The 12017-nt window shown below is 38.9% G+C and overlaps 1 pseudogene; it reads right to left on the bottom strand.

Annotated features, from left to right (window-relative positions):
- On the bottom strand, nt 3868-5123 carry RPL3P9 (ribosomal protein L3 pseudogene 9; annotated as a pseudogene).

Raw genomic sequence — 12017 nt, forward strand, 5'->3', positions numbered from 1 at the left:
TCATTACCTGAGTGAAGTTTTCAAGAGTAAATACTGCTCATTTCACAGTCAGAGCACTGACGTGGTGACATGTTTCTCACTCACGCAATTCACTCATAATTTAATATGATAATTTATAATTGTGATAAAATATTCTAGGATAGAAATTATGTTTGGCCATTTATGCAACCCTCTATTTTGCACAAATTAATACAATTCATGTCCTGGTATTCCTCAGAGCTTAAATATTTAAATGATGTTTAATATAATCTTCCCCAATGAGTAAAACTATTTTGGAAAAAAAAAGCAAGATTTGAATATTGCAATGTGCAATATGTGCAGTGTGCAATATTAAGAAAATGTTTACTTAAATTTGTATTTGTTCAATACTTAGAACAAATGTTTCAGTTAATTTTAGGCTGTTCTATTCTGTTTCTCTGTGCTATTTTTTATTCTTAGGATATTTGTCACTTGAATTTGTCTGTGTTTTAAATAACCATCCATCAGTTTTTATTATCAGTGGTAAGTCGTTTGGAGAGATGACCTAAATCTCACCCATTCCTATACACTCACCCCTTTTATCTCCTCCCATCAAGAAGTGAAGGTTTTTTCTCTACTCTTTGAGTTTGGGTTTGGCCTTTTAAGTGACTCTGGCCAATGAAATATTAGCAGCATAAGATGAGCAAAGATTTTTAAAATATTTGCACACTGGGGCTTTCTGTCTTTGACTCCAAATGAAACCTTGAGACCACAAAGTGATGAACCTAAATTAACCTACTGGATAGATCCTCTGAAGTAAAGCAGAGCACCACTTGACAGTCTGCTAACCACTTCACTTGAGGCTATCTTAGACAATCCAGTCCCCAGTAGGCCACCAGAAGAGTGCAGCCAAGTGAATCCAGGAAAAAAAGATCAGAAGAATGTACCAGCTGAGCTCAGCTGAAATTGCTGACTTACAGACTCATAAGTAAATAAAACTGTTGTTAAGTCAATACATTTTTTATAATTTGTTACACAGCAATAGGTAACTGATACACTAGTATACTATTATCCTCTGAAATAAGTGGCATTCATCCGTTTAAAGAGAAGTGGTAGGCTAGGTGCAGTGGCTCATGCCTGTAAACTCAGTGCTTCCAGAGGCCATGACAGGAGGATCACTTGAGGAGAGGAGTTTGAGACCAGCCTGGGCAACATAGTGAGACCCAATCTCTATTAAAAAAAATTTTTTTAATTATCTGAGTGTGATGGTGTGTACCTGTAGTCCCAGCTACTTGGGTGGCTGAGGTGGGAAGATTGCTGGAGCCCAGGAGTTTGAGGCTGCAGTGAGCTGTGACTGCAGCACTGAACTCCAGCTTGAGCAGGAGAGCAAGATCCTGTCTCTAAAGAAAAAAATGAAAGAAAAGAAAAGAGGCAGAGAGAGAGAGAAAGAAAGAAAGAAAGAAAGAAAGAAAGAAAGAAAGAAAGAAAGAAAGAAAGAAAAAGAAGGAAGGAAGGAGAGAAAGAAAGAAAGAAAGAAAGAAAGAAAGAAAGAAAAGAAAAAAAGGGAAAGAAAGAAAGAAAGAAAGAGAAAGAAAGAAAGAAAGAAAGAAAGAAAGAAAGAAAGAAAGAAAGAAAGAAAGAAGAGAGAGAGAGGGAGGGGAAGAGAAGGAAGGGGAGGGGAGAGGAGGGGAGGGGAGGGGAGGGGAGGGGTAACCAAATCTATGTTTTGATTGACAGGAAAAAGAGGAAATAAAAGTACATCTTACATTAATTCTCAGTCTCATCCAATCACAACTTATACCACTAATGACCCTAACAATCCTTGATCTTCTAAATCAGCTCAGTGTTTTAGAACTGTAAAAATAAGTAGCTTCCAAACAGTTTTGTTCAAGCTCTTCTATTATTCTAGTAATCCACATGCCAAACCCCATTTTCTAATTTGGTAACAGTGGAATGCTGGGAAGAAGCCCCAGTGTTGGACAGGCATTTTGGTGCATGCCTGAGTTGATCACAGCAAGGCAGTTGTCCCATGTCATTCATGTTACATCACGCATGGGAAAGGTTGCTGGGGGAGATGGCTCAAGCTTGAGTTAGACTGAGTTTAAGACAAGATTGTCACTTAATCCTAAGCCACAAGACAAGACAAAAAGTAAGTGCTATTCAGGCTCCGTACTAATGATTTTTAACTAGGGATGGGCATCATAGTCAGCAGTAGACTTTTACACTACCAATTTTTCCCCATCTAATCTCAGTTTTGCTTTAAAACAAGAAAAAGCATCTGTTTTGCTTGTTTTAACATCACAGGTGACAGTCATGCACAGTGTTTACTAAGAATAACCAATATATGCACAGTATAACGTTAATAGTGTGATATTATTTGAGGTTAATAAGAGGACTTTCCAATAATACAACTCCCACTGGGCTAATACGGCCCCTAAAATTACAGTAGTCTCTTATTGGCTGAGAATATATTACATGTCCAGGGCAGTCTTAGTATAAGGGAAAGGCTAGAATTAAAAGACCAGGATTCTCTCTTAGTTGTTTAACCTTAGTGAATTCGTTTAACTTCTCAGTTTTTTCCTCTGCAAAATAGGGAATGAAATATATGCTTGCTAGATTACTGGTGTGCTTGGGGACGTACTCTGCAAACTTTAAACTGCCATTTAAAATAAAGAGTTGCTATCTTTCAGTAAAAAAAAAAAACCATTAATTTCTCAGAACCAACTGACTAATTTGAATTCTAGCCTATTACCTAATAAAATGCTGAGAAAACAAGACACGGGTAACTTTGAATTGGGATGGAGGAGATCTCTGAAGTGGGATAATATTTAGGAAGGGAGAACTAAGTATTTCACTCCAATGGGAGCCCCTGAAGTGGAATGGAACAAAATAAGGTGGCTAAAAACAATGTTAGATGCAAGCATTGCCTACTTCTCAGTTTAGCTTCAGATCACCTCAACAAATGGCCCCAAATCAGAATGGCTTACAACTCCCAATAGGTTCATTTATTCTTAAATTATGAGACAGGTATGGAGAGAAAGAGTGAAAATAAGATGTATCTTGGAGTAATGCACTTGATTTGAGATATTTAAGTTTTGTAAGCAGCTCTTCTCTATCAATCTCCATTTGAAATCAGGTTATTTCCATTTTTCATATTTGGAAGCGTACAGCTATAATAGCAGAGTCAGAGGAGGAATTTTGTGGATACAGGAAAAATAAAACTGAATTGCTCTTCTAATTGCCCTACAGACTTAGCCTATATAAATAATTATTCATAATCTTCTTTTATTCTGTAGTGTAATAATTTATTTTTCTTTTGATGGCAGTGACATAGGTTCATTTATTGAGGCCGTAATGATGAAAATGAAAACCCAAAAAAAGATGAGCTTATGCACTAGAGAAAAAAAGCATTTGAATAGTTAAAATACTAAACAGTAGAGGTAAAGGTTTTTTCTTTCCTTTCAAGCTTTCAAAAATGTTATGTGAAGGTGAATCTTGTGCACTTAGATTCAAGAGAAAGAATGAAGATGTTGATTTGGAGGAAATCACACAATTCTTTTATATTTTCTACTACACAAAGCTAAAACCTATATGCCTTCATACTAAAATAACTTTATGGCAATGCTGAACATTTTTCAAATAATTAATAAATTATTTACTAACCTCATGAAGCAGTATTTTTTCCTCCATACATTTCTTTACCCTACAAATCACTAAAATATGCTTTTTATCTTTTTTCTCATTTCCTACAACAAACATAATGGCATATATTTCTTTCTTATTTAATACATTTAAGAACAATGATAAAAGACACCTGACCAGGTATATTGTCCAGCTATTCTAAATTGAACAGACTGAGACTTGGAGCTGTCATCTAGCTAAGTGGTTTTTTTGTTTGTATGTTTGTTTTCAGTGGAAAATAACTTTTATTGAGACCCCACCAGCTGCAAAATCTGTTCCTGGCATTAAGTTCCTTCTTCCTTTGCAATTTGGCCTTTCTTGAGTGCTCCCACAAATGCTTTCTTCTCCTCCATGGTCTGGAAGCAGCCATGGCCAAACTTGGAGGTGGTGTCAATGAACTTAAGGGCAGTCTTCTCCAGAGCCTGTCATTTGGTCTGCACCAGCAAGGACTTGTGGAGGGTGAGCACTCGTTTCTTGGTTACAACCACACAGCCTTTCAGCATGACAAAGTCATTGGTCACTTCACCATAGTGGACAAAGCCACCCAGAGGGTTGATGCTCTTGACAGACAGGTCATAGTCAGTGGAGGCATTGTTCTTGATCAGTTTGCCACCCTTGATAAGGTAGCTCTGGCCAATCTTATAGATCTTCTTGTTGATCTTAGTGCAGTGATGGTACTCTTTCTGCCCAGTGCGTGCCCCAGAGAAGGCCACACGGTCAGGATGCCATGCCTCAATACAGGCCACCTTACAGAGGCCTCAGCGGATCTTGCGGGACAGCTTCTTGGTGTGCCAATGACTGGTGACCCCTTTGTAGCCTTTGCTCTTTGTCACCCCAATGACATCAATCATCTCGTCCTGCCCAAACACCTGGTTCACAGGTACCTGCTGCTCAAGCCTCTCGCGGGCCCAGTCCAGCTTCTCAGCCACAGTGCCTCTGTTCACCTGGATCTCCATCACATGAGCCTTCTTGTGGTGCAGAGGAAGCACCACATCTGGTTGTGGGTAATGATATGGATGACTTGGCAGTACTTCTTCATGCTGCTGAAGTCCTTCTCCAGCTGCTTCTTGCCGTCCTCATCCAGCCATTTCTTGCAGTACTTGGTGAAGGCCTTCTTCTTAGATTTATGCCAATTCTTATAGAAATGCCTCTTGCACTCATCACTGATGTGCTCAGTGAAGACGGTCTTGAAGGTCCAGAGGCCTCGAGGGGTTCCCACATAGCCCACAATGCCCGCAACCACCATGGTTATCTCCACAATGGTCACAGCCTCTACCACCTCCTTCTTGTTCACCTTGGATCCTGGCCTGTCGACTTCCCACACGATGTGGGTCATGCCAGCCTTGTATCCCAGGAAGGCTATGAGGTGGACCAGCTTGGAAGGGTCCTCTTTAGGGAAGCTCTTCACCTTCCTGTGATGCCTCCTGCTGCACTTCTGAGGCAGGAAGCGGAGGGACCCATGTCTGGGACCACGTCTTGAGACAGAGTCTTGCTATGTTGCCCAGGCTGGAGAGCAGTGGCATGATCTTGGCTCACTGTAACCTCTGCCTCACAAGTTCAAGTGATTCTCCTTCCTCAGCCTCCTGAGTAACTGGGACTACAGGCTCCTACAACCATGCCTCGCTAATTTTTTTTATATTTTTAGTAGACAGGATTTCACCACGTTGGCCAGGCTGGTTTTGAACTCCTGACCTCAAGTGATCCGCCCACCTTGGCCTCCCAAAGCGCTAGGATTACAAGAGTGAGCCACTGCGCCCAGCCAGCCAAGTGGTTGTGTTACCTTCTGGGGATGTTCTGCAAATGTGCATTGTTTTACTTGTCTTGATTCTCTGCCTAGATGTTTATAAATAACCCAGGATCATTAAACCAAACACAATAAACAGACAAATGAATAATCAATAACAATATAGTATGATAGATAATGTAATAAAAGTGCTGTAAGATTAAACAATATTGTCACATCACATTGTGAGGGCAATCAGGGACTTGCTTGTGTACTATGTCCAATGAAGGAGATGCATATTAGTTTTCTGTTGCTGTATAGCAAATAACCACAAGCTTAGCAGCTTAAAACAATACCCACTTGTTGATTTCACAGTTTCTATGGGTCAGGCATCCAGACCTAACTTAACTGGGTCCTCTGCTCAGGGTCTTAACCTAGATGTTGGCTGGGCTGCATTCTCATCAGGAGCTTGAGATGCTCTTCCGAGCTCATGTAGGTGTTGGCAGAATTCCATTTCTTGTAGCTGTAGGGTTGAGGTCCCCATTTTCTCGCAGGCTGTCAGCCAGGAGGTACTCTCAGTTCCTAGAGGCTGCCCACAGTTCTTTGCTACATAATCCTCTCATCGGGTGTCTCACAACATGGATGTTTACTTCGTTAAGGCCATTGGGAGTATTTCTTTTACCAGTCTGTTAGAACAGAGTTTTATAAAACTTGATGTAACCACAGAGGTAACTCTCCCATCACCTTGGCTTCCTACCAAGAAGGAAAGTGAAATGAAAATCAAAGTTTGGAAGATGGTAATAGTGGTGTCAGGAAGGAATACGGATGTAAAGAAAGAAATCAAGTTAAAAGATAATGGGATTTTACCAAAGAAAGGAGTTTTCCATTAGAAAGATCAAAAATAGAATAAAGAGAGCTAATCTATACATCAATAGAGTGAGAGATTTGCGTGAAGCAGACTTCTAAAAGCTTAGAAAAGAAAAAAATAATGAGAACTTGGGGGAAAATGTCCTTTATCTGAGGAATATTTTTCATTTTCTATAAAGTGGAAATTTTCTCCAGGCATTTATAGCTGTAAACATTATGGTTTTGTTTCAAAACCAAATTAGGAATAATATATTTCAATATTCATTCACTAAAAGTAAATTTAGATCTAACTTTACACGATATTAAACATTATGTACATTTTTATTTTCCCAAAATAATGATAGCTACTTATCAAGTACCTACCATATACTATGCACTGAGCTTTGTAAACATTGCCTCAATTCTTACAGCCCTTAAAAATATTAATATACATATTTTACAGGTAAGAAAGTTGAGATGCCAGGATATAAGGTCAAACTCCACAGGAGCTCAATTACCATTGTATTCCAAGTGAGCTACACATCCAGGATTTGTACAACCTGGTCATATCAAGTGACTTGTCCACATTCTCCCATCTAATGAGAAGAGGAAGCTCAGGCCTTCTGGCTCCAAAGCCTTCTCTCTCTTTATACTGAACCAAAAAGTAAATTTCCATTGATTCAAAATTCCAGGAAATTCTACATTTCTGATTTGAGCTGCGGTTTTGTAGAGTTACTTCTTTATTGGGTATTTATTAAGCCTTTACTATTTGCCAGACACAGTATTTGGTATTCCATGTGTTATTTCACTTAATCGTCACAGCTTTCTGAGGTACTTACTATCATTACTTCCATTTCACATACAAGAAAACTGAGGTGACTTAGGTTTGTAAACATGCTCATAACATTCAGGCAATAATTGGTAGATTCAAGATTGAACTCAGTTGTCCCTGACTCATTCTGCATAGCTAATCTGAGGAACCATGGGAGACAACACACACTGCTCAGTTGACTTCCCTACAACGGTTAATCTGAAATTATCTTCACATTTATCGCTTTCCTATTAAAAACTATCATGATACTTTGCAATGATTTATCATCACTCATCAGATTTTATAGTCACCTCCACACAGATCTGTGGTTGATTAAGTAACTCAATTTGGAAGACATTTCAGTGATGAAAAGTGCTAAGTGTTTCTATGAATAATAATTAGCATGGTACTTCAACTAAATTATGTATGTGAGTATTGGGAATCAATCAGCAGAGGCGGGTCAGGTTTTGATGACCAGAACCAGATAAGATGGATTAGTCAGGGCAGCACAGATGACTAAAGCAGACATTGGCTGCAAAAAATGAATAAATAAATAAATAAATAAATAAATAAATAAATAAAAACTTATTGAGCACCTAGCCTGTACTAAGCACCATGCAAGATCCTGAAAACACAATGCTGAATAAGACAGACACAATCTCTGCCCTCATGGATCTTACACTCTAGAACTTAGCATCATCAGAGTCATCCCAGCTTGATGGAGTATGCTGCCATGGAACTCTTGTAATAGGCAATCAGACCAGTGGAATGCAAGTACATGGCCATGGTGCCTGTGATCCAGAGCCTGCCCTCAAGCCCCTGGGAGCGTTGAGATGGGGCAAAGCAGGGTTGCAGTACTGGAAAGAACCACGACAAAGGCACGTGGGAATATTTCAGGGATTCGGATACTGAAATAAGACAGTAACCTGCCTACAGGAAGTAGGCAAGAGTTTGATACTGCAAATAAATCAGGGCCTGATCATCAGGAAGGTTAAGGTAAGCTTGGTCTTCAGGACTAGGTTTATTTGTTTGTTTGTTTGCTTTGTTTACTTTTTTTATTTATTTTTTATTTTTTATTTTGAGACGGAGTCTCACTCTGTTGCCCAGGCTGGAGTCTAGTGGTGCGATCTCGGCTCACTGTAATTCTCCCTGCCTCAGCCTCCTGGGTAACTGGGATTACAGGTGCCTGCCACAAAGCCTGGCTAGTTTTTGTCTTTTTAGTAGAGCCGGGGTTTTGCCATGTTGGCCAGGCTGGTCTTGAACTCCTGATCTCAGGTGATCCACCCGCCTCAGCCTCCCAAAGTGCTGGGATTACAGGCATGAGTACCGCGCCTGGCCAGGGCTAGGTTTCTTAAAGCCCCATGCAGTCTACTAGAAACAGAAATGACCCCAGAGCCTGAGGGGTGTGTTAGCCTGTGTTCTCCCATCCAGTAGCTTCTGCTATGGGAACTGGAGAGGGAGTCAGATCGGCCATCTCACTTTCCCATCGGCCATCTCACTTTCCCAGGCTGTTTTCTCTCTAAGATGACTCACTACATCTGCATAGCCATACTGAGATCCTGCCACCACCTTACGTCCCCAACCAAAAGTTATCCAAACAATAGTCTCACATAGAACATTCACCCGTCCTTACCAAAAAGAGCTTTTTTTTTCTCTAAGCACAAATTAGACTGTATTTCACAAGTTCTCTTGCCCAATAATTCTGTTTGGGAACAATTGCTGCCTTTTTTCCTGAAATCTGGACTCCCAATCTTTGCTTTAAGTAGTGAACTTGCTTTAAAAAATAAAACAATCCTGACAAAGTGCACACACAGCTGTGTGCTGCCTTGGATTGCAGGGGGCCTTCATGACCTGCTCAGTTCTCTGACTTGCATTCTTATCAGGGAGTCAATTTCTTCAAAGGTCCAAATTCATTTCCTTCTGTTTCTATGATTAATCCCTTTTATTCTGTAGAAGGCAATGGCTTTTTTTTTCTTTTGACATGCTTTCATTAGTTTTTCAGGACATAATCAGGGAGTCATTTTCCTTCAGTAATGCTATGTATATGCCTGTAGGCTATAATACCCTATGGTGAAAGGCACAAATTGCACATATTTGATCAAACAAATTAGAACTACTGTCTCTTGCAGAGAGATGTGATATTTTTCCAAAGGATAAAATTTTAGAACAGGATGCCTCTGGTACCACCTACTGCAATTTTTTTAATGACATTTCTTCTCAAGATAGTAATTACAAACTCATTTGCATGTAAGCTTGGACCTGTACAATGCCAATGCTGCCAAATATTTAACAATAAGCATTTGTAAATATCTGAAGTTAAGCTGTGTATAAAAAGTAAATTACTTACCTGTGAGCATATGGTAAATATTCAAGAATCAAAATAGTCTACACAATTCCTAATGACTTAACCAATAGCTTACAAAGTTCTTTCAAATGTTTCACAGTATTTTAACCTCAAAATAGAGTAGAGTTATTGATATAGTTTGAATGTTTGTCCCTTTCAAATCTCATATTGAAATGTAATCCCCCCGTGTTGGAAGTAGGGTCTGGAGGGAGGTGTTTGGGTCTTGGGGGCGGATCCCTCATGAATAACTTGGTGTCCTCCCTGCAGTAATGAGTTCACATGAGATCTGATTTTTTAAACGAGCTGGCACCTCCCCTTCTCTTTCTTGTTCCCACTCTCACCGTGTGATACACTGGCTTCCCCTCACCTTCTGCCATGATTGTAAGCTTCCTGAGGCCCTCATCAGAAGCAAATACCGGTACTATGCTTCATGTACAGCCTGCAAAATCATGAGCCAATTAAACCTCTTTTCTTTTAAATTACTCAGTCTCGGGTATTCCTTTATAGCAACACAAGTGGACTAACAGAGTCATGATGCCCATTTGTCAGCAACATGCTCATGTATATGTGTATGGACCCTGACTATAACCCACATCTTCTAACCTCAAGTTCAATTTTCCTCTCCCCAGTGGACCATACTCAAAAGCTGTCGTCTATTTTATTCCTCAACATGTTTCTGTCCTGTATGGAAACTATGTTACATTCTGCATTTTTAAATATCTTTTTCTTTAGAAGGTTTGTTCACAAAAGAAAAGTTGCTTCCAAATGGCAACTTAGTTATCACTTTAGTGACATGCATACCAGTGAAGATGCAATCTACAGTCCTTTGCAATCTTCTTGCTAGGCTCTTTAACATTTTCCATATGTGGACCTCCTTATTACTATAAAAGAATTTCAGAGAAATTCAGACTTACAGAGATAGGTAAGAATGTAGATTAGAATGGGAAGTTACCTACATGAAAACAGAAATAAAGCATGGCAGTGTGGTAAATTACTGTTATCCTGAGAGTGGTTGAGAAAGTTAAGGTAATTTAGGACAAAATCATGACCCAACGGACCCTGAAAATATTGAATCCTTTATAAGAATACTCAGATGATTACCTCTTTTCTAGGTTGAAAATTTTTATATCAAAATAGATGCTTAAGTATACCCAAATTTTACCTGTTTAATGATATTAAGAAGTAATATCTATCAAGCACTTAAACATACCAGGTACTAATGTTCCATGAGTTTTTACTCTGAATTATCCTGTTTAATCCTCAAGACATCCTTTAGGGCTGGGCACGTGGTGGCTTACACCTGTAATCCCAGCACTTTGGGAGGCCAAAGCAGGCAGATCATGAGGTCAGGGGTTTGAGACCAACCTGGCCAACATGGTGAAACCCTGTCTCTACTAAAAATACAAAAATTAGCTGGAGGTGGTGGCACATGCCTGTAATCCCAGCTACCCAGGAGGCTGAGGCAGGAGAATCACTTGAACCCGGAGGCGGAGGTTGCAGTGAGCCTAGACTGCCTAGACTGGGCCATTACACTCCAGTCTGGGTGACAGAGCAATACTCCATCTCAAAAAAAAAAAAAAAAAAAAAAAAATCCTTTAAGATAGGTACTGTTAGCCCAATTGTGTTTTAGTAGATGAGGAAATTAAGACACAGAGTAGTTAAGAACATTGTTGAAAGTCATATTGTTAATGAATGACATTGCCTGGACTTGATCCAGGATGTTATATATTGAGTAGATAACCAGGCATTTTTAAAGAATTAAAAGTGAAATTGCCCAAATGAATTAAAATACAAAAGAATATAAATTTCATAAAAAAAGAAACTTGTGTACATCTGAACTCAATACCTGAATAGGAGGAATTTAAGACACTGGAAAGATAAAGACATATAGGTGGTTTCTAACAGGAGATTAAAGAATAGGCAGACAACGCTGCAAAAGGCTTTGCATAAACTATAGAGAAAATAAGTCTATAAATAGGTTCGTTTGTTATGTTTTTGAGTATGAATAATTGGGAGAACAACATTGCTGAATTCCTGTTAGAAATCACATATAGACAACCTAGGATGATGACGAATGACCATCAATGGAAGCCTCAGCTTTGCAATTCTGAACAATGATTTTAAAAAAATCATTATTCTCCCCTTTCCCCATATTTTCCTCTCCCCATCCCAAGCCTCTGATAATCACTTGCTTGATTGAATCTTTCTACAATCGATACATAAAGAAAAACATCACATTGTACTCCATAAATATATACAATTACTATTTGTCAATTTAAAATAAAGAATAAATAATTTTTTAAAAATTTAAAAATTATCTCTCACACACACATACATGTGCACACACACATAATGCAGTTTGCATTTTTATTCTAATTGCCAATATTCATAACTTGATCAATGGTCAAATACTTGTCCCTCCAACTCTTCTATTTTCTTTCTATTCCCTTATGTATTCATATCAGAATGAGACCTTGCAGCCATGAAAATCAGGTACATTAACTTTAGTACATTTCAACAAAAATACATCAAAAAACTTCTTTTAAGCAATGCCAGTATGCCATACTCACACAAAAAAATAAACATATAACGAGAAACTTTATTATGTATTATTTACCAAAGGCCTCTATGTGCTGGGCCCTTTATAAGCATTA

This window comes from Homo sapiens, chromosome 8, assembly GCF_000001405.40.
Source record: "Homo sapiens chromosome 8, GRCh38.p14 Primary Assembly".
Taxonomy (NCBI): Eukaryota; Metazoa; Chordata; class Mammalia; order Primates; family Hominidae; genus Homo; species Homo sapiens.